The sequence below is a fragment of the Homo sapiens genome, chromosome 12, assembly GCF_000001405.40.
Source record: "Homo sapiens chromosome 12, GRCh38.p14 Primary Assembly".
Classification (NCBI taxonomy): domain Eukaryota; kingdom Metazoa; phylum Chordata; class Mammalia; order Primates; family Hominidae; genus Homo; species Homo sapiens.
In genome coordinates, this window is record NC_000012.12 from 63,648,807 (window position 1) to 63,672,451 (window position 23,645).

The 23,645-nt window shown below is 37.8% G+C and overlaps 1 protein-coding gene and 1 pseudogene across 24 annotated transcripts in view, besides 3 other annotated features; one reads left to right on the forward strand and one right to left on the reverse strand.

Annotated features, from left to right (window-relative positions):
• The window catches only part of DPY19L2 (dpy-19 like 2), a 109,893-nt gene extending 89,894 nt beyond the window's left edge, over positions 1 to 19,999 (reverse strand). For 18 of the 24 annotated variants that reach the window (XM_047428727.1, XM_017019192.3, XM_024448944.2 and 15 more), the window contains exons 1-4: positions 19,251 to 19,687; positions 17,029 to 17,053; positions 14,952 to 15,039; positions 12,538 to 12,675 (exon numbers count right to left, since the gene is read on the reverse strand). In XM_047428727.1, the coding sequence (XP_047284683.1) occupies positions 12,538 to 12,675; positions 14,952 to 15,039; positions 17,029 to 17,053; positions 19,251 to 19,587 (588 nt within the window). In that variant the 5' untranslated portion in view covers positions 19,588 to 19,687. Of the gene's footprint in view, positions 1 to 12,537; positions 12,676 to 14,951; positions 15,040 to 15,209; positions 15,355 to 17,028; positions 17,054 to 17,658; positions 17,759 to 19,250; positions 19,688 to 19,951 lie in introns of those variants that run through there. The other 6 variants (XM_047428722.1, XM_024448946.2, XM_024448947.2 and 3 more) reach the window with 6 other exon arrangements.
• On the forward strand, positions 2,772 to 3,301 carry S100A11P4 (S100A11 pseudogene 4; annotated as a pseudogene).
• Positions 19,584 to 19,643: an enhancer, noted in NCBI's record as "active region_6585". NCBI's record gives its function as "activates an Ori minimal core promoter by ATAC-STARR-seq in GM12878 lymphoblastoid cells {active_cell/tissue: GM12878}" and the evidence as "EXISTENCE:reporter gene assay evidence [ECO:0000049][PMID:35858748]".
• Positions 20,093 to 20,594: an enhancer, noted in NCBI's record as "H3K4me1 hESC enhancer chr12:64062679-64063180 (GRCh37/hg19 assembly coordinates)". NCBI's record gives its function as "activates a minimal SCP1, AML or CMV promoter by ChIP-STARR-seq in naive H9 embryonic stem cells {active_cell/tissue: H9 hESC(naive)}" and the evidence as "EXISTENCE:reporter gene assay evidence [ECO:0000049][PMID:30033119]".
• Positions 20,595 to 21,094: an enhancer, noted in NCBI's record as "H3K4me1 hESC enhancer chr12:64063181-64063680 (GRCh37/hg19 assembly coordinates)". NCBI's record gives its function as "activates a minimal SCP1, AML or CMV promoter by ChIP-STARR-seq in primed H9 embryonic stem cells {active_cell/tissue: H9 hESC(primed)}" and the evidence as "EXISTENCE:reporter gene assay evidence [ECO:0000049][PMID:30033119]".

Consider the following 23,645-nt stretch of genomic DNA (forward strand, 5'->3'; position numbering starts at 1 on the left):
GAAAATCACTCATCAAGATCCAGAAAGATCTCAAACTGAATGAGAAATAAATGGATTCCAATACAGAGATGAAAGAAATATTAGCATTATCAAGGATTTTAAAGCAACAATCATAAATATACTCTAATGAGCATGCTTAAAACAAATGGAAAATTTGAAAAGTTTACCAGAGAAATAGATAGTCTCAGCAAAAAAAACAGAAATCAATACTAAGAACATCTCTCAAAACCACATAATTACACGGAATTTAAACAACCTGCTCCTGAATGACTTTCTGAGTCAACAAAGAAATTAAGGTAGAAATCAAGAAATTCTTTGAAACTAATGAAAATAAAGATACAACATACCAGGATTGCTGGAACACAGCTAAAGCAGTGTTAAGAGGAAAATTTACAGAGCTAAATGCCCGCTTCAAAGTTAGAAAGATCTCAAATTAACAACCTAACATCACACCTAGAGGAACCAGAAAAATAAGAGCAAACCAACCCGAAATCTAGCAGAAGACAAGAAATAACCAAATCAGAGATGAACTGAATGAAATTGAGACACAAAACACCATACAAAAGATCAACAAAACCACAAGTTGGTTCTTTGAAAGAACAAATAAATTTAATAGACCACTAGCTAGACTAATAAAGAAAAAGAGAGAGAAGACCCAAATAAACACAATCAGAAATGACAAAGGATATATTACCATTGACCCTGTAGAAAAGCAAAAAACTCTGAGAGACTATTACAAACAACTCTATGGACACAAACTGGAAAACCTAGAAGAAATGGCTAAATTCCTGGAAATATATAACCTCCAAAGATTTAACCAAGAAGAAATGAAAACCCTGAATAGACCAATAACAAGTTCCAAGACTGACTCACCAATAAAAAGCCTACCAGCCAGAAAAAGCCCTGGAACAGATGACTTCACAGCCAAATTCTACCAGACATAAAAGGAGAGCGGATACCAATCATACTGAAACTATTCCAAAAACTTGAGGGATTCCTCCCTTACTCATTCTATAAGGCTAACATCATTCTGATGCCAAAATGTGGCAAAGCCACAATGTAAAAAAGAAAACTTCAGGCCAATATCTCTGATGAACATAGATGCAAAATCCTCAACAAAATACTAGCATACTGAATCCATCAGCACATCAAAAAGCTAATCCACCACAATCAAGTAGGCTTTATTCCTAGGATGCAAGGGTGGTTCAACACAGGCAAATCAATAAATATGATTGATCACATAAAAGAACTAAAAAAAACCCCACATGATTATCTAAATAGATGCAGAAAAGACTTTTGATAAAATTCAACATCCTTTCATTTTAAAAGCCTTCAACAAAGTAGGCATTGAAGGAACATACCTCAAAATTGTAAGAGCCATCTATGAAAAACCCATAGCCAACACCATACTGAACAGGCAAAAGCTAGAAGCATTTGCCTTGAGAACTGGAACAACAAAAGCGTGTTTACTCTCCCCACTCCTATTCAACATAGTACTGGAGGTCCCAGCCAGAGCAATCAGGCAAAAGAAAGAAAGAAAATAAATCCATATAGGAAGACGGGAATTCACACTATCTTTTTTGTAAACAATATAATTTTATACCTAGAAAGCCCCATAGTCTCTTACTAAAAGCTCCTAGATATGTCTTTTTAAAACTTCAGCAAACTTTCCGGATGTAAAATCAATGTACCAAAGTCAGTAGTATGTCTATGCACCAACAATGTCCAAGCTGGGAGCCAAATCAAGAATGCAATCTCATTCACAATAGCCACAAAAAAAGTAATAAAAAAACTTATAAAAGAATACCTAGGAATACAGCTAATTAGAGCGGAGAAAAATCTCTACAATGAGAATTACAAAACACTGCTGAAAGAAATCAGGGGCAATAAAAACAAATGGAAAAACATTCTATGCTCATGAATAGGAAGATTCAATATTGTTAAAATCACCATATTACCAAAAGCAATTTACAGATTCAATGCTATTCCTACCAAACTACCAATGACATTTTTCACATAATTAGAAAAACTATTCTAAAACTTATATGGATACTCCTTCAACATAAATAAGGTTAAAATAAATAAATAAGTAAATAAAATAAAACACATATGAAACCAAAAAATAGTTCAAATAGCCAAAGCAATCCTAAGCAAAAAGGACAAAGCCAGAGACATCATAGTACCCAACTTCAAACTATATTTCAAGGCTACAATAACCAAAACAGCATGGTGCTAGCACAAAAACACACACATAGACCAATGGAACAGAATAGAGAGCCCAGAAATAAAGTCACACACCTAGAACCATCTGATTTTCAACAAACCTGACAACACAAGTCAATAGGAAAAAGGACTTCTTATTCAATAAATGATGCTGGGATAACTGGCTAGCCATAAGCAGAAGACTGAAACTTCACCTTTCTTTTCCCCATACACAAAAATCAACTCAAGATGAATTAAAGACTGAAACGTAAAACCTAAAACAATGAAAACCCTAGAAGAAAACAGAAAATATCATTCTGGACATAGACCCTGGCAAAAATTTCATGATGAAGATGCCAAAAGCAATTGCAACAAAACAAAGATTGACAAATGCAAACTAATTAAATTAAAGAGCTTCTGCATAGCAAAAGAAACTACCAAGGGAGTAAACAGACAACCTACAGAAAGGGAGAAAATATTTGCAAACTATTCATCTGACAAAGGTCTAATATCCAGAATCCATAAGGAACAAATCGAAAGTAAAAAAAAACCCAAATAAAAAATGGGTACTCCGTGCCACTCCCAGTCACAGCCTCCCGTGCCTTGCTCAGCTCCAACATGGCAAAAATCTCCGGCCCTACAGAGACTGCGCGGTGCATTGAGTCCCTGATAGCTGTTTTCCAGAAGTATGCTGGAAAGGATGGTTACAACTGCAATCTCTCCAAGACGGAGTTCCCAAGCTTCATGAATAAAGAGCTGGCTGCCTTTACAAAGAACCAGAAGGACCCCGGTGTCCTTGACCGCATGAAGAAACTGGCTGTCAGCAGCGATGGGTAGTTAGATTTCCCAAAATTTCTTAATCTGATTGGTGGCCTAGCTGCGGCTTGCCATGACTCCTTCCTCAAGGCTGTCCCTTCCCAGAAGTGGAACTGAGGACCCCTTGGGCCTGGCCTTCAAACCCACCCACTTTCCATCCAGCCTTTCTGTCATCATCTCCTCCTCACAGCCCACATGTCCCCTGAGCCCAGCATACCTACCACATCATGCAGGCCCCACCTGTGGATAGTAATAATACAATGTCACTTTTTTAAAACATGAAAAAAAAAGTAGGTGAAGGACATAAACACAAATTTCTCAAAATCAGATATTTATGTGGCCATCAATCATATGAAAAAGTGTTCAACATCACTGATCATTAGAGAAATGCAAATCAAAACCACACTAACCCAATCGGAATGGCTATTATTAAAAAGTCAAAAAATGACAGATGCTGGTGAGGTTGTGGAGAAAAGGGGATGCTTATACACTGCTGGTGGGAATGTAAACTAGTTCAAACACTGTGGAAAGCAGTTTGGAAATTTCTCAAAGAACTTAAAACTGAACTACCATTTGACCCAGCAACCCCATTACTAGGTATATACCCAAAGGAATATAAATTAGCCTACCATAAAGACACATGCACATGTATGTTCACTGCAGCACTACTCACAATAGCAAAGACATGGAATCAACCTAAATGCCATCAATAGTGGAACGGATAAAGAAAATGTGGTGGTACATATACCCCATGAATATTATGCAGCCATTATAAAGAACAAGATAATGTCCTTTGCAGCAACATGAAAGGAGTTAGAGGCCAGTATGCTAAGTGAATTAATGCAGGAACGGAAAACTAAATACTCTGTGTTCTCACTTATAAGCGAAGCTAAACACTGAGTACACATGGACACAAAGAAGGGAACAACAGACACTGGGGCCTACTTGAGGGTGAAGGGTATGAGGAGGGTGAGGACTGAATAACTGCCTATTGAGTACTATGCTTATTACCTGGCTGCCAAAATACTCCACACACCAAACCCCCACTGCATGCAATTTACCTATTCAGCAAACCCACACATGTATCCCATGAACGTAAAATAGAAGTTGGAAGAAGAAAAAGTGTCAGCAGAAAAATAGAACACATAAAGAAAAGTCAAAATTTTCAGAACTCAAAAATAAAATAATCAAAATAAAAAACCTTAAATAATGGATGGCGCAAGAGGAGAATGGCAGAGATAGAAGAAAATAACCAGTAAACTGGAAGACAGAACAATAGAAATTACTCAATCTGAGCAAAAGAGAAAAAACAGATGCTAACAGAATAAACAAACAAAACAGCCCTAGGGACCTGTGGAACTTTAACAAAGGATCCTACATTCATGTCATTGGAGTCTTGGAAGGAGACAGGAAAGAGGCAGGGCTGAAAAAGAATTCAAGGAAATAATTACTGAGGCTGGTCCCGGTGGTTCATGCCTGTAATCCCAGCAGTTTGGGTGGCCAGGCAGGCAGATTGCTTGAGCCCAGGAGTTTGAGACCAGCCTGAGCAACATAGTGAAACCCCATGTCTACAAAAAATTCAAAAAAATTAGCCAGGTATGGTGGTTGCCCATCTCAGGAGGCTGAGGTGGGCAGATCCCTTGATTCCAGGAGTCAGAGGTTGCAGTGAGCTGAGATTTCACCACTGCACTCCAGCCTGGGCGACAGAGTGAGATCCTGTCTCAAAATAAATAAATACATACATAAATAAATAAAAAAGAAAGAAAAAGAAATAATGACTGGACTTCCCATATATGGCAAAAGTTATAAACCTAAATATTCAAGAAGCTGAGCAAATCTCAAACAGAAAAAATCTAAACAAATCCACACTAAAACACAACATACTTTAGAAAACGTTTGAACTTTGAACATTATACTTTGATACACTTTTGAAGATGAAATTTAAAAAAATACTGAAACCAACAAGAGAGAAACAAACCCTTACCTAAAGGAGAAAAAGAATTCAACTAACAGTGGATTTCTCATTAGAAACTATGGAGGGCCAGAACAAAATGGCACAACACTTGCCGAATGCTGAAAGAAAGGAACTATCGACCCAGAATCCTATGTCCAGCAAAAATATCCTTCAGTAATGAAAAGAAACTGCATTCTCTGAGTTAAGAAAAACTAAAAAAAAATAAAAATAAATAAACAAATTTAAAAAAATGCAGCCAGCAGAACTTTTAGAACAGACATCTATTCTAAAAGTGTAGCTAAAGAAAATCCCCTAAACTGAAATGAAATGATAAAAGAAGGAATGTTGGAACATCAAAGAGGAAGAAATAAAAAAACATGGATAAAATAAAACAGGCTTTCACTTTCTTCCTGAGTTTATAAAATATGTGTAAAACGAGTTTAAAATAAGTTTGATGATTAAAACATACAGTAAAATGACAGCAGCAACAGATTGTAATAAATTGTGTTAATACAATCACTAGAACCACTAAAAAAAGCTTTGTAAAGTGATATATTGAAAAAATAGATAAATCAAAATATAACTCTAAACAATGTTCAAATAAAATGTTCTGCCACAAGAAGGTTAAAATAAAAGCAAACAGAAATTGAAAACCAAGAATAGAAACCACAAAATAAAATCGCAGACTTAAACTCTAACATATTAATAACTATATTAAATGTAAGTGGCCAATTGGTAAACATAACAATTAAGAGATATATTGACAAATGGGATTTAAAAATATTATCCAACCGTTTACAAGGAACTCGCTTCAAATATAATAATAAAGTCAGGCTGAAAGTGAAAGGATGGAAAATGATGAATTTATCATACACACAGTAATGAAAAGAAAGCAGAAGTGACGATGCCATTATCAGAAAAAAGCACACTTCAGAGCAAGCAAAATTATCAGAGAAGGAAGAAAAAGTCATCGTTAAATTATTTTTTAAAAAATTCAACAAGAAGACCCTGCAATCCTAAATGCATATGTGCCAAACATAGAGCTACAAAATATGTGAAGAAAAACAGATAGATGTCAACGGAGAAATGAACAAATACATAATTTTACTAGGAGACTTCAGAATCCCTCTGTCAAAAAACTAGAATTAGTATTTTCAACTAATTCTTTTAGTTGATAGAAGAAATAGACAGAAATTCCCCCAAAATTGAGACAAACTCAACAACACTATGCAAAAGACCCTGCTTAAGAGAATGAAAAGGCAAGCTACAGACTGGGAAAATATGTTTGCAAGCCATATATATGAAAAATAATTAGCATCTATAATATATAAGGAACATCCTAAGATCCAAAATTCATAAAACAAACAATTCAAATAGAAATGGAGCAAAATACATAAAGACACGTTGCACATACAGATGGCAAATAAGCACAAAAAGATGTACACTGTCATTAGCCAATAGGGAAATGCAAATTAAAGCCATAATGATATATCACTACATATGTGTAAGAATGAGTAAAATAAAAAATAGTGACAATACCAAATGCAGGTGAGGATACAGATAAACCAAATTTTGGTTGTGCTTACGTTGTATCCATTGACTACTGAGTATGTAGCACAAGGAAATTTGCATAGTTTCATTCATTCAACAAATATGATATTGAATCAACTCCATATTCCAGGAAGTAGGCACCTGGGATACAGCTAGGAAATACATAATGGGCATGGGAAAACAGTAGAAAACAAGGTCATTTGCTGAGAGTGAAAGGGGGACAGGAGGTTTGGGATAACTGGAGAGAGAAGATATGAAACAGGCATCAAGGGGTTAGCAAAAGTAAGGCTCAAGGACCATATCAGGATCTGTGGCCTATTTTTGTACCAGTAATGTGAAAAGGATATTGTTTACCTTTCCCCCAGCAGTTTAAGATAAGAGAGTGTAAGACTTATAGGGGAGATAAGGAAGGGTCGGGGGGTGGGTTTCACGCCTTTCTCTAAGTGGCTCCTGTTCTCCCAGGCTTTACCATGGAGGATGCTTTCTGAGCACTCTTGCTAATCTTTTGTCAGCACCTTATGAGGTCTGTGTTAAAATGTCTGTAAGCAATTGCAAATACCCTTGCTAACCCATACTAGGCATTTACCGACTGACTGGTGAACAATTTGAGTTTAATTCTTTACCATTGTGTCTAGTGGCATGACCCATGTAATTAAATGCTTGTTTCTGTTCTCCTTGCACATGCTTTATCTTTTTAATTTATTTTGGGTTATTTGATTGCCCTGTGACCTCAGCTTCCTGACCGCTTCAGGAAAAGTTGTAAATTTGAAGACTGTCTGGCTTTTGTTGTTGTTGCTGCTGACATTGCTGGAAGGCCACAAGCAATGTTCTTTTTGGCTTTCTACATCCAAGGGAAAGCTGACCCAACATGATTAAATCCAACTCTCCATTTTCTCCGTGTTTATACTTGGGAATCTGATTATAGCTGGAGGAACACAATTCTGTTGGCTGGTTTTGTTCTCAATTCAAGACCGTCAACCTCAAATGAAGCCCTTGGTGCTGCCCAAGAAACTCACATTATATCCCTAGTCTATTCATTCTGTTAGATAAGAGGTCAGAAAACTTCTCCTATAAAGAGCCAGGCGATAAGTATTTTAGGCTTTGTGAGATAGTCTCTGTCTCATACTCTTTAATGCGTTTACATTTACCCCTAGGTTTGCATATGCATGTTTGGTTTGTTTATCTATTCATTCATGCATTTGTTTGATATTTATCCTTTTTGATGTTCTCTGAGTTTCTTGGATCTGTGGTTTGGTATCTGTCACTAATTTTGGAAAATTCTCAGTCATTTATTTTTCAAATGTTTATTCTTCCTCATCCTTTCCTCTCCCACTGGGATTCTAATTATGCATATATTAGAATATTTGATATGGTGTCACAGCTCTTAGATGTTCTATCATTTCCTTCCTCCACTTTTTTTTCTCTTTGCATTCCTACTGACCTATCTTCAAACTCATTGATTATTTCTTCTGCTGTGCTGTCTGCTGATGAGCTCATGTAAGGCATTTTTTACTTCTTTTTTTTATATCTAGCATTTCCCTTTGATTCTTATAGTGTCCAACTCTGCTAAAATTATCTATCTGATCTTGCATATCATCTGTCTTTTCCATTTGGGTCTTTAAAATATTAATCATAGTTACTTAAATCTCCTGTCCAGTTGTTCCAATATCTGTATCTTCTTTGGGTCTGCCTGATGACTGCTCTGTCTCTTCGGACTGTGCTTTTTCTTACCTTTAGGTATGCCTCATAATTTTTGCTGAAAGTTAGACATGTTGTATAAGACAGTAGACATAGAGGTCAGTATTTTTATGCTTGAAATTAAGAACATCTTTCTTACCGTTAGGTCTTTATTGTAGGGATTTGTGTTAATCTAGTTAGGGTGGGCTGGATTTGAAGTTTGTAATTGCTATAGTTACCAAAGCTGGAGTTTGTTGCCGCTATGGACACTAGTGATTTCAAATTCCTCTAGTGGTACCTTGTTTTGAACTTGGTTTTGGGTTTTCCTTTGTGCTGCTCCCTAGAAAGAAAATGCCTTGCAAAACTCACTCAGTCACATTCCACTGTGATTTTTACCAAAGGCTTGTTAATGTAATGGGGGAAGAGTGACAGGTTTTCTGATATTCCAATTAAGCCTCAGTCTTAGACAGGTACTGTGAATTTGGGATTTGGGGGCTGCACCCTTCATAAGTGTTCCTTCCTCAAGGAATATGACTGTTTTTTAACATTTAGGTTTTTTTTTTCCTGCCTGTTCTCTTTCACCAGCTTCACTGGATACCCACCAGTGTCCTCAGACAATGGGTTTGATACCGTTCTCCCTGCAGATCATGGCTTTCTTTTCCTTAGGAGAGATTTCACAACATGGGTGTGAGCAGAGTCTGAGCAATGATTGCTTTTCCTGTCCCCTAGCCAGCACCATAGGGAAAACTTTCTCTAAATACTTCCCCAATCTTCCCTGACAGAGCCTGCTCACCTTCACATTTCATACCAGCTCACACTAAGCCTGTAGCAGTTCATTAAAAAATTTCTGGTTTAACCTTTGTACCAGCTTATATGGCATTCAAAAGCATCTATCTCAGTCAAGCAGTTCCTATTGCAGAATGCTCAGTTCTTTGTGCTTTCTGCAGGCACCTGTCCTTCTTGAAATTTTGAGTTGGTTGTCCTCTGACTTCAGTTTTCTGAAGGGTTCAAGAAAAGGTGTTATATTGCAGTTTGTCCGGCTATTTTCCTTGTTGTAGGAATGAGAGTGCCATCATTCCAGCTCTCTTCGTCACCAAATTGACACCTGAAGCCTCCAGAAGCTAAATATATAAAGAATTAAGAGTTCTTTATATATTAGGTGTATTAGCCCTTTATCTGTGAGATATATTACAAATATTTTCTCCTGGCCAGGCATGGTGGCTCACGCCTGTAATCCCAGCACTTTGGGAGGCCGAGGCAGGAGGATCACTGGAGGCCAGGAGTTTGAGACCAGCCTGGCTAACATGGTGAAACCCCGTTTCTACTAAAAATATAAAAATTAGCCAGGCGTGGTGGCGCACATCTGTAATCCCAGCTATTCGGAGGCTGAGGATGGAGAATCGCTTGAACCCAGGAGGCAGAGGCTACAGGGAGCCGAGATCACGCCACTGCACTTCAACCTGGGCAATGAAGTGAGACTCTGTCTCAAAACAAACAAAAAGAAACCAAACAAATATCTTCTCCCAGTTTGTCAACTGTCTTTTGATTTTATTTCTTTTCTTTTTTAAACTCTGCCCAGTTTTGCCTTTTCCATAGAAACCCCAATAAAAGCGATGGCCTAGGCTTTACCCTCAATACTGCTTCCACCTGACCAAACTATCTCTCTCCTGTGGCTCTGTGTGATGTGACTTGTCCTCTTCTCCAAGGAAGTATTACTCATAAATTCTTCTTTCAGCGGCACTGATCTATCTGTGTCATCACTCAGTCAACCGCATAAATTAAGACCTAGGCACAGATCAACTCTGTTTCTATTTCTATAAAATTCTAGAAAATGCAAACTAAACCATAATGACAAAAAGAATATTAGTGGTTTCCTAGGGATGGGATGTGGGTGAAGAGAAATGAAGGAAGGAGGGATTACCAAGGAGCACAGGGAAACTTCAGGATGAGGGATATGCTCATTGTCTTGACTGGTGATGGTTTTGCAGGTGGGCCAAAACTAATCAAACTTTACACTTCATCTATATGACCAGCTATCATATGTCAATTATACCTCAATAAAGCTGTTTAAAAACATTTAGGGTATATCTACTGGAAAGTAAAACTGCTTTTAATTACAGACTGTATCATCATGTGCATAGAAAAATCCAAAGGATTCTACAAAAAAGCTACTAGAACCACTGACTTCATCGAGGTCAAAGTTAATATTCAAAATCAACTATATTTCTACACCAAAGCAACAAAAAATGGAAAAATAAAAATTTTAAAATAATACCATTTATAATAAAAGAGTACTGGGGAAGACTGTACATTGAAAAAATACAAAACATTGCTGAGACAAACTAAAAATAATCAACAAAATGGAGATCTATACCATGATCGTGGATTGGAAAATTCAATATTGTTAAGATGTCAATTCTTCCCAGATACATGTACAAATCCAACATATTCCCAACCAAAATCACAGCAGGTTTTTTTTTTTGAGAAATTAATAAGCTGACCCTAACATTAGATAGAAATGCAATTTTAAAAAGGAAAAAGGTAGAGAACTATCTACTTTCAAGATTTATTCTAAAGTGACAGTAATCAAGACAGTGTGGTATTGGCATAATTATAGATCAAGAGAATAATAGAGTCCAGAAACAGATTCACATATAATGTGGTCAATCAATTTTCAACGATTGTACCGAGACAATTAATTCAATGGGGGAAAAGACAGTTACCACAATGGAGCATTTTTTGGCATTCCAAAAATGTTTTGTAACTCAATTGTGGTGATGGATATATAGCTTCATACATTTGTCAAAACTCAGAGAATGGTACACTCAAAATTGGCACATTTTATTACATGTAAGTCATACCTCAAAAAAGCTGATTTGGTGACAAAGATTTATATATGTTGTTGACAGAAGAACAAATCCAAATGCTTATTAAACATGGAAATATATTTATCCCCATAAATAAGGGAAGTACAAATTAAAACAAAAAAGCATATCACAGCCATCGTAAGAGTAAAAATCACAGGGTCTGACAATTCAAAATCTAATAAGGATATGAGAAAATTCTAGACAGCAGTGTGAACTGCTACATTTGCTTCAGACAGCAATTTAGCAATATCTGGTAAAGCTGAAAAAGCTCACACTCTATAACAACAATTCCACTTCTAGGTATATATCCTAGACAAAATATTGCACATATACAGAAGGAAACCATACAAAAGTGTACCTTTTAGATTACATTGCTTGTAATCAAAAAATTGGAAATAATATATTAAGATGGGGAAATACATAAACTTTACAATTCATAAAACGGTTAAAATTAAAGAAATATATATATACAGAAAGTTCAAAAATACAATTTTGAAGAAAAAATCCTAGAGTGACACATTCAGTATGAGATCATTTATGTGGACTTAAAGCATATAATAAAACAATCTCTGAAAACAGAGATTGGATGGATACACACATCAAATTTTAATAAAGGTATAAGTTGGACTAGAAGCAGAACAAAGGTGATTTTAACTGTATTTATAATATTTTAATTATTTTAAAATAGCTGATGCAAAAATGACAAAGATTAGCATTTATTTATTTTAGATGGTTGATCACACATATTTGAATATTATTTTCTAAGTCTGTAGTTTTAAGCATTTCAAAATCTAAAGAATAATAATTTTTAAAAGCTATAAAAATATGAATAAAGGACTAGAAAGCAGTAAGTTTTCATTAATATGCTGGATTCTGAGACAATTTTAAACTCAACAGTAGTATTTACCATGGTGTCAAATTTAGCATTTATCTTGAGTTCACAAACTGAGTTCACTAATTTTGTCTCCGTTTTTCAAATTTCTAGCATTTATAGACTACTATAACAACCATACTCTTTTAGGCTAAGTGTTGGAAAATAGTAATAGATTTCTGGCTGTGTGACTAAATAAATCTTACTTTACTAACTTAACTCCAAGATCACTATTCAAGCTCATCACTCTTACTGTCCCTTCACGTGGTCATCATGCTCACCCACGAGGTGTCCAAAGCCAAAAGCCCATCCCTATTTAGAACTTTTTGGCTCCCATGACTCTCTTTTCCATTTGGCTTGTCTATTACCCTGGCCATTATTTACACACTAAGGTTCATTCTTCGAGTTCATGAGAGAACAGTTTCTGGGGTCTTTAAATTTTAAGAGAGGAACTTATGATATTCTACTCAACTATAAGGATACACACAATTAATAAACCTGAAACGTCCCCTCCCTTTCTTAACAAGATTGTGCTTACTATTTTTATCTGACAAAGAGGATCACTCTACAAATATTATTTGTCTCAAATTATGACTCACCTCTGGATAAAGATGGAAGCGTTTTATTGCATTAATTATAAGAGGATATTCAGTAAGCCTGTCATTCATAATCATCCACAGTCCTTCCAAAAACGAAGGTGCTTCAATAATGGTCTTGAAGTATGAATAATAAAGTCCCTTTTTTTAAAAAAAGACATATATTGTCAATGTAATTAAAACTTTAAAATATTTATTTTTATCACTTCTTTAGAACTTTTTTTCTGAAAAAAAAAAAAGGTTAATAATAAGACTTCCTAATCACTTCTCGCTATTTTGCATTCTTGGTTTTTAAAGAACACGTATTTTCAGGTGATCACTGTAATATTCTTTCAAATTTTCTATAGGCTTTCAAACTAAAGAGATGGAGGGATGGTCAAACAATTTAAAGAGTTTCTCTAATAATGTCTTAAAATGTGTAGACAGTATATGTTTGATTTTCCCAAATCTGGTTTTATCCCCCACATTTGAGATGCTTGAAGGTTGACATCTGATTAATTCTATCATAAACAGGGATGCTTTCATGCCTCTGTACAACTTTGCATATAGAAAATTACTTTTTTTCCCATGCTCTTAGGAAATAAAATATAATGACCATAAGCATCATGAGCAAGGAATCCAGTGCTTCTAGCTTAATTCATAGCTCCATCTAATCCTCTGTGCAAAGTGAAAGCTCAGTGTCAATTGACTATTGTTGCTCACAAACGCTATGTACTAAAAAGCAGATTATTTTAGTGTCTTACACTTCAGCATATAAAATAAAGGCTTCATTAGGATAGTAAAAGTGCTGTTGAGTTAAAATTCATGGATTAACAACAGCATATTGTGTCTAGTTTCCCCAACTAGAAGAAATTCCCCAACACAATTTCTTGCTTTCACTCCTAAAATCTAAAAGCAAAAAAGGGCCACATTGTTTAAAATGCATTCTCCCTAAAAAATGCTATATGCTATAATCATATCTGCCTCATCCAACACGAGTAAGTACTAAATTACAGGTCTGTTTTAGCTGATGTCTGAAAGGCCATTACCTCATAGTTGATTGGCAAAATATGAATTCATAAAGAATTTTCCTTTCTGCTTAGGAGGATAACAAAGCAATACAACAATTAAAAGATATCTAATATGCAAAAGACTATATTTAGGGAAATATTAAATATATAAAAAGTTACTAATAACAGCTATTATTTTGTGTTAAGTATTCTGCTATGTGTTGCCATTCATTATCTCCCTTCATTTTCCCTAAACCCCTCTAAGGTTGGCATTATTTCTATTGAGCAGACGAGATTACTGAGAATCTGAGAGGTGACCTGACTAGCCATCATTCAATAAAGCGCAGAACTGCTATTAGAATCCAGCGATCTGTCACCAAAGTCCAGACTCTGCCACAGTTACACTCTTTATTTAATAATATTTTATATTCTGTCTTTGGAAATATCTTTAAAAAGTTCAAATGTCATACATATGTTAATGTATCCAATGCTTTGAAACTTTATAGGGGCAATATAGGGATGAAAATTAAAAAGCAGTGACTGAGGGGCCTGGCATAGGCAAAATCACAGAGACAGAAAATAGAGCTGGGTGTGATTAGTGTTTAGTGGGTAGAGTTTCTGTTTGGGATAGCAAAAAGTTCTGGATGTGGACAGTGGTAATAGTTGCAAGACAATACGAATGTACTTAATGTCACTGAATCGTACACTTAAATGATAAACATTGAAATTTTTTATTACAAATTTAAATCTAAATTTTACCATAATTTAAACAAAAAGCAATGGCTAGACTGAGGAGAGCCAGTTTCAATGCTTCACTAGGCCCCCGACCAGCTGTGAGCAGATCTGGAAGATGGACGGTTGTGGTGTCTTCTAAATGTAAAATTGCGCAATTTTGGCATTTGCTATCCCGCTTACTCCTCACAATAATTATGTGAGATATGTACAGCACAAAACTCCATTTTAAAGATTAAGTATTGAAAAACAGAAAATTATTTTAAAATTATATAAAAAGTTATCTCTTAAAAGAGATTATCTTGAAATCAAAAGAAAGCCAAATAATAATCGTCATCATTAAAAGGCCCAGGTAAAACATGGAATCTAACTGTAGCCAAAGAGAAGGCAATTTCTGATAACATCTCATTTCATTCCCTTTTATCACTTCTTCAGTGCTTTCTTTGTCCTCTTTCCTCAGCTATTATAATTCATCTTTATTATCTTAAAAAGAAGTCTGCATTAGGAAAGGGTGAGAGATAATGAAGTAACAGAAAAATAATCTCAAACACTTTACTATTTAAATAATAAACCTGGGTTATAGCTTATGAAACAGTGCAGTTGACCAGAAGTTCATTTCAATTCCTAATACATTTCTACCTCATAGTCTCGCTATTCTTAAACCACAAATTAATTCATTAGAAGAAGAAACCTAACCATTTCAGTGCGAAAAGTCATCTCCCGTTCCAAAGATGAGAGGTGAGAGAAATGACGATCATTTTCAAAAAGTGTTACTAAATGTAACCTAGAAAAAAATGAAGTATCATATTACAATAAGAACGAGTTTCAAAACTAACAGTAAAATAAGCAATAAGAAAGCCATAAAAAAGAAAACAATAAATTGTTATATTAATTTTATAATTTGCTTACTAACTTGTATGTTTTTCAGCATTTATAATCCAGTATGGCACACACCTGAAATTCCTTAACTCAGTGGTTTTTAAGCTTAACTGTGGCCAGGTACGTTGCCTCATGCCTGTAATCCCAGCACTTTGGGAGCCCGAGGCAGGCAGATCACTTGAGGTGAGGAGTTCGAGACCAGCCTTGCCAACATGATGAAACCCCGTCTGTACTAAAAACACAAAAATTAGCCAGCCATGGTAGTGCATGTCTGTAATCCTGGCTGCTAGGGAGGCTGAGGCAGGAGAATTGCTTGAACCCAGGAGGTGGAGGTTGCAGTAAGCAGAGATCATGCCACTGCACTCCAGCCTGGGCGACAGAGTGAGACTCTGTCTTAAAAAAAACAAACAAAAAAAAACAAAACCTCAATTGTATATCTAAAATTCTTGTGGCTTTTTTCACCCTTCCTTCCATCCCAGGCCTCCAAATCAGAACAGAGGCAGGTTAGTGTTTGTTTTTTAAGTTTCAAGTGATTCTAATGTACTGGCCTTGGGAAATACCTCCATAACTGTTGAAAAGGGTTCAGAATATAATTTTAAGTGAAATTACTTTAGATCAAAGCAGACTTACAATAAGTATAATATCACATAAAGGATAAACTTTCAAGTGCCAAAGAATACAGGTGTGTACTTGAAGACCTTTTAGTAGTGAAACTCAACAGCTGTCGGCAGTGAAGAAAGGAGCATATGTGATAAACAAAATTAGCTATGGTCAACAATTATGCTATAGCTAAGTTATGTAGTCAGACTTTCCAGTGAAGTTGAAAATAAAGCAAAGTTCCATATATTAACCCTGTTTTCCACTAACCCTTCTTTACATGTAGGCCATATGCCAGGGTACCAAAAACTGCAGGAATATTCTCTACCATTGCAGCCTCAGTTCTAACATCAAAATCTCCCTGCAGACTAAACGTCTACAGCAGCACTGTGTCAATAGAACACAGGGGCAGATCTCATACATCCCAAGGGTAGAAATCACTGAGCACAGGTAAAAATAAAATATTCCAGAAGGAAATATTATTTTACAAATTTTTATAAACACTTTTGTAAAATAATGTACACAGGCTTGCACACTGAAAGACTCAGAGCCATTTAACTCTGTACACCCACTGCAGAATCTTTATCTTCTTTTTTACCTGATTTCCAATTGGCAGGTGTTACTAAAACTTTATCACCAAAGTTATTTCACTGGCTGAGTGTTGTGGTTCATGCCTGTAATCCCAACACTTTGGGAGGCCGAGGCAGGTGGATCATTTGAGGCCAGGAGCTTGACACCAGTCTGGCCAACATGGTGAAACCTCGTCTCCACCAAAAATACAACAAATTGGCTGGGTGTGATGGTGCACACCTGTAATCCCAGCTACTTGGAAGGCTGAGGCATGAGGATCACTGGTGCCTGGGAGGCAGAGGTTGCAGTGAGTCAAGATCACGCCACTGCACTCTAGCCTGGGAGACAGAGCAAGACTCTGTCTCAAAAAAAAAAAAAAAGTTATTTCACTAGCAACATATAATTACCATAAAATAAAGGAAGGTTTTAAATGAACTACACATACAAAATACACTAGAAAAGCTAGATATTTAAAGAAACGTGTGGTGAATTATTTGGTAAAGCAAAAATATTTTAATTCATAAGTGACTATTCCCCTAATGCATCTATTTTGTAAATGCTGTTTCACATATGAGGTTTGTAAAAAAGCAAAATACATGTATAAATTGGTGCACATAAAGATGTTCTACAAATATAGCCAGAAGTTATTGTTTTACTGTATGCAAAGAGTGATGGCAATTTTTAATTCAAATGTTTTTAAATATTTCAAACTGAAACTAAATCTTACCAATGTAAAATTGCCACAAAGACAGCTGGAATAAAGAAAAAAAGGAAAGTCATTAATAGCTGCTTTATTATAAAATACCATTAAAACAAGTATTTCAAATGTATTATTTTACATGTCTAGAAAGATAGCACACAAAGCAAGACGGCCAGCTAATCCTGTCTCTAAGAGCATAGGAAAAAATCCAGGACACAAAGCAAATTCTGAACAGAGCTTACCTCTCTGCAGCAGGGCTTGACAAGCAAAGGGAGAAACTTGAGAGGGTTTTTTTACTTCAGGTAATTGGTAAGAGTGATGGAATTATGGATGATTGTGACCTTTTTTGATTTTTTTCAGTATTATTTTCTATTCCTTTATATGAAATTTTTAAAAGAAGTAAGTATATACAGTATGCTTCAGGTAGTTCTAACCAAGACGAACCACTCTAGATCAGTTTCTCTAGCATTCATCAGAAGATGATTAAATGCAGGCAATCACTTCCTCAGCAGCACATCTAAAAGCCCCAATGTGCAGCTCAACCCTTGATGAATTGCAAGCTCTTTCCAAGAGCCCAGACCTAGGAGCTACTAGATGGCCTAGGAGACTAGTCTGGAGTCACCTGTGCCAACGCCCCATGTATACATAAGACTTCACCTGGGAGCTAGGAGACACTGCTCTGGGTATGGAGCTTTTACAGGAGCTGCAAACGCAGCCTGTGCCCGTTTGGTTGGGGAACTGCTTGTTTTCAATTCCTCTGGAGAGAGAAGAGTGGGTAATAGAACAAGTTAAAACACCACAAACTTTGCTTTTCTTATAGAGGTTCAGCATCTTTTCTTGAATTAATGTCCTTTAGATTGTTGTAAACCTTTGGTTAATTTCCAAAGTTTTGAAGAAAATGATTTTGATAATTTTCCAAGTATTTTCATTGTCGTCATGGAGGAGTGCATTTCCTTGGCTATTCCAGAAGTCCCACCTCCCTTCTGAGATTTTATAATGGTATTTCTTATGGTTATCCTAAATATACTTGGCAAGTCATCTTATAAACCACCAATAATAGCCTCTTAAAAACTCAAAAATTACTTCACTTGGCTAACAACATAAATGCAAATTAATTCAATAATTATTGAAGAAATTAAATTTTTAAAAATTAAAAAATTGCAGTGTTGAAATTCTCAACCATGCTTATCCAGATCTTTTCCTATATTACTAACTGTCCTGGGCTTATCTTAAATACTTCTCGGAAGATTTACTTGTTTTATACCAGGATAGGCAAAGTATGGCCCATGGTGCATTTTTGGACTGTATGCAAGCACGGTTGCTATAATTTTTAAAAGGTTGAAAACTTTAAATGGTTGTAAAGATGCTCATTAACTGTTTATTAGGCTTCATTAATTTTAAAATATACAGAGACTATCCTGTTCAACTATATTTGTATCCTATTTCTAATTCTCCCAACAATTATATACACTGGCAAAAACTCTTCAGATGATATATAAGGAAAAGGTCAAATATACTACCAAATTCATCCAGCTTTCCAAAGATGCTCAAAATCTTTCTGTGTCTCTCACTCCCTCCCTTAACCCACATACCACATCTGAAAAAAAATGATATGGTGTAACGATGCCAGTATTCTAAATGCTTGAAGGGCTTATCACATGCCCTTTCCAAGCTGTGACAGAAGAATGTCCCCTGGACCACGGCATCCTATCAATCTCACCTCTGAAGGTGACCCAGCCTCATACTTCACTGAAACAAAGACCATTAGACACCAACACTCCCAACTTCTTTTATTTCCACTTTAACATTTCTCCATATAGTAATCCTCACTTTTCTACTCCCTGCCATCTCAGAAAAGGAATTCTCTCTCCTCTTTTCCACAGTTAGCTTCTCAAATTTGTACCTTTAATTCTACCCCTCCCAAATATTGCAAGACTTGCTCCACTAATTATTTCCTCTCTTGGAATCTTAATCTCATCATCTTCTCTTGATCCTTCCCCTCAGCCTTTAAAACTCCTAGACCTTAAAACACTCTCTGCGATCTGACAGCCCTTCAAACCAATATACTCCCTATCTCTCTCTCTCCCCTGGTTCAATGACAAGATCTTTGGCCAACTTCTTTCTACTCGGACCTTGCTATTATTTCCTACTAGGCACCCACAAACCCTTGCTTGTTAAACTGATCTCCTTCAAGACTCAAGAAAAGCGCCATGCGGCTCCCTCCTAGGGCTCTCCTGCCCTCTCCTCACCGATGCCGAGAGTGGTTCTGCTGGAGAACCGCCGCGCCTGCAGTTCCTGCACCTTTTCCCGGAGCTGCGCCAGGGAATTACGGACGAACTGGAAGGGGCCGAGAAGAAAGGTCTTGGCCACCACCTCTAGCTCCAAGCCTTTTCGCTCTTTCAGACTTTGGATCCTCCCCGGGGAGGACCTCCAGGAGCCCCTTGGCAGTTTCCCGCCGCCTAGGGCCGACTTTTCCATCTCCTCCTCTACCTCCGGCTCCCGGGCGAGGGAGGCCCCGCGCCGCCCCTTAGACTGGCTGCGGCCGGAAGATTGCAGCCGCTTTGAGCTTACTCCTTGTTTTCTCATAATCAAGGAGTATGGTGGAGCTGGGTCAATTTCAGGCACAGCCCAGCCGAGTCAGGCGAGGTCCAGAGAGACCTGACTCGCCTGGCAGCCTCAACGGACTTGTCCCCGCAGCCGTTGCGGACCTCCCGGTCGTCATGGCGACTGTGAAATGTGGGGTGGGGCGCATGCGTTGGAAGCCATTCGCGCGGGCAGTCCCTGAGTGTCCCCTCACGTGCTCCCCAGCGCGAGCAGCACCCCCGCCTCTGCGCTTCCCAGAGCGTGCAGCTTCCGGTGAGGGCAGCCCCACGCACAGCCCCCCACACCCTCCCCAGCGCCTGCAGCCTCCGGTGCGCGCAGGCCCCAAGCCCACATGCGCAGTCCTCACCTTGCGCGCAGCCCCATGTACAGCCCCGGACGGGCTCCCAGCCCCACTGGCGCAGAACCCATCACCGCTTGCCCTTCACGCGCTTCATTGGGAGTGCAGCCCCCACCCCGAGCGCGCAGCTCCACGCAGCCTCTCCACACTCTCCCCAGCGCCTGCAGCACCCCCAGTGCGCACAGCTCTGCCAGTCGCTTCCCCGGGCGCCGCCCCTGCACCACTTCGGCCCATAACCTTGCGGCGACTGTCTGAAGAACTTCCCGTGGTTTCATTCTTTTCTTCGGGTTTAGTCTTAGCTGTGACATTTTAACCAAAAGATTACACGTTAATTAACGAGGTATTAAAGGGAAAGATCTCAGCTGAAAGAAATGACTGTAGGAAGTGTGTCAGGGAAGCCAACGGAACCGCCGGCCCGCCGGCGGTGCGCCCGGCATTAGGAACGTCTCTACTCCCCTACGATCGCTGAGGTATCGGACAGTCAGTGCCCGTTGCCAACGCAGAGGGAACGGGCCGAGACTGCGGGCAACAAGTGGCAGAGCCGGCGTGAGTCCGGTGGGTCTGATCCCAGAGCCTCAGGTTGACGCCACTTCCTTGGCACGGGACAGCGTTTACTGAATCTTAGAGCAAAATGCTTTTCCAATAAGGTTCCTCAGAAGTCATCAGCCCTAGGAGCGGTGTGCTCAAGCGCTTTCAGCACCAGCCAGGACCAACTAAGAGGGGAGCGCTTAGCTCCCAGTCACCGCACAGCCCTACAAGAGGCCAAAGCGGCTGGCACAGATGCACTGGGGCCACTGACATTTTCCATGTCCTCTGTCACGGGCCACATGCTGGAGCCCACACCGCTTCACTTCCCATCTGTTTGATGATGGATCACATTGAACTCCCATACCCTAACTGACCAATCTAAAGCCTGGCTCATTGTGGCCAGGTTAATTTTTCCTGATGCAACACAGCACAAAAATGTTCGTGGCCCACAAATCAAGTCCTAGGCTTGCTCACCAATGCCTTCAATATTTGCCCAATATACCTTTTCAACTTTAATTTCCCACTTCCTCGGGCACAAAATCTTCCATCTCAGTCATTTCAGGTAAAGTCCACAACCTGAGACATCATAACTGCTGAATTCCTTTATTCATGTGGAAAAGCCATCCCTTGGCTTTTGCATCCTTTTCTCCCTGCCCATCTGAATGCTGTCACCTTCCAAGCCCCAGCCCATTTCTCCAGCCCATATTAATTATGCTTTTTCTGAAGGTCTAGAGCACTTAACTGACAGTACTATTTATCTTCTCACTCAGTTAAATTCAGTAAGTGCTACTACTGCTCATTTTTTGTTTTGGGAGATTTTTTTCAAGCAGCATTTCTGCATTCCTGGCATTGTGTTTGGTGCTCAAAATGTTTTCTCACTTAATCATGCAATGACTGTATGCAAATTTTAAAATCAAGCATCAGGATGTAGTTATTTGCCCAAGTTTTAACAGCTAATAAATTCTATCTATCCAATACTGCATTTAAAATACAAAGTATTTACGGTGGTTAAGAAGAATATATTCTTGAATGGCTAGGCAAACTCAAAGCACCTTATTTTAAAATATGACTGTTTTAATGTGTTTTGGAACAATAAGTGAAGTGGAGTGATTGTTTTTCTTTTTGGTCAGTTTGGTTTTTCTGGAGTTTCCAATTGCCTTTTGCATCACTTGGTGTCCTGATGGGATACAAAATGCTCTTACCCATGGTCTAGCCCTTGAAAGTACAAATCTGGTCATTTTTATCATTTAAAAAATTAATCTTTTTATAAGAATGTTCATTGTGCTATTATTTATATCGTTAAAAAATAGAAGTGGCCTCAGTATCAAACACTAAGTTATGAAACATTCATATAGTGAAGCATTACAGCCACTAAAGTCATTTTGCATGGATATTTAATGATATAGGAAAATAGTCATGATATAATGTTAAAGGAAAAAAGAAGCAGGATATATTTTATGATTCATATGTTTAGTAAACACATAAAATTAACTGTGTGCCATGTGCTGCTCTAAATCTTTTACACAGGGGACTCATATAGGAAGATTACCAATGTATGACCTTGAGCTAGTAATTTAGCCACTCTAGGATTAATTTCCTCATCTGAAAAATGAAGACAGTTATATTTGTCTTACTGATGGTATGATTGAATGAATTAATGCTTGTAAAGCATCAAAAACACAGCACATGCTTAAACAAATGTTCCTTTATTATGTTCTAGACCGGCCATCCTATAGTGCAGTAGTGAGGATTTTTAGGTTGGTGCAAAAGTTGTTGCTATTTTTGCCAACACTTCCAATTAATATTTTGCTCACTTGGTTTCTTTGTCATCAAGTGATATGTTAGTAATTATTAAACAGTAATACATGTTTTAGGTTCATTAGTTAACTGAGAGATAGTTGCCTAAATCATTATGTATCTACTCCTACTAAGGAGAGGAGTAGATTTGTGTATAAGAGGGAAATCATGACACTTAGTTTTATGTGCAGTTGAATAGAATCATGGATGTTTTCATGTTTTTACAGCTTCTGTAACAGTGGTCACTTATTTTGACCTCATTATTTTGAATGGTTATTTGAGTCACATTTTAGCTGTATACTAACTAATCACTATAATGACTAATAACTTAAAGCAGTTACGTTGATAATTTAATCTATGATTAATTGACAATTAAAATAGCACATTATAATTAGATAAGATGCAATATATTCTTGCATTATCTTATCATCTTTGAAACAGAGATGTCTCATGATTTAGCTTTTTTATATATATGTTTTTATTATACTTTAAGTTCTAGGGTACACGTGCACAACGTGCAGGTTTGTTACATATGTATACATGTGCCATGTTGGTGTGCTGCACCCATTAACTCATCATTTACATTAGGTATATCTCCCAATGCTATCCCTCCCCACTCCCTCCACCCCACGACAGGCCCCAGTGTGTAATGTTCCCCTTCCTGTGTCCAAGTGTTCTCATTGTTCAATTCCCACCTGTGAGTGAGAACATGCGGTGTTTGATTTTTTGTCCTTGCGATAGTTTGCTGAGAATGCTGGTTTCCAGCTTCATCCATGTCCCTACAAAGGACATGAACTCATCATTTTTTATGGCTGCAGAGTATTCCATGGTGGATATGTGCCACATTTTCTTAATCCAGTCTATCATTGTTGGACATTGGGTTGGTTCCAAGTCTTTGCTATCGTGAATAGTGCCGCAATAAACATACGTGTGCATGTGTCTTTACAGCAGCATGATTTATAATCCTTTGGGTATATACCCAGTAATGGGATGGCTGGGTCAAATGGTATTTCTACTTCTAGATCCCTGAGGAATCGCCACACTGTCTTCCACAATGGTTGAACTAGTTTACAGTCCCACCAACAGTGTAAAAGTGTTCCTATTTCTCCACATCCTCTCCAGCACCTTTTGTTCCCTGACTTTTTAATGATTGCCATTCTAACTGGTGTGAGATGGTATCTCATTGTGGTTTTGATTTGCATTTCTCTAATGGCCAGGGATGATGAGCATTTTTTCATGTGTCTGTTGGCTGCATATGATTTAGCTTTTTTTTTTTCCTCAAGATAGGGTCTCACTGTCACACAGGCTAAAGTGTGATGGTGCTCACTGAAACCTTGAACTCCTGGGCTCAAGGGATCCTCCTGCCTCAGCCTCCTGA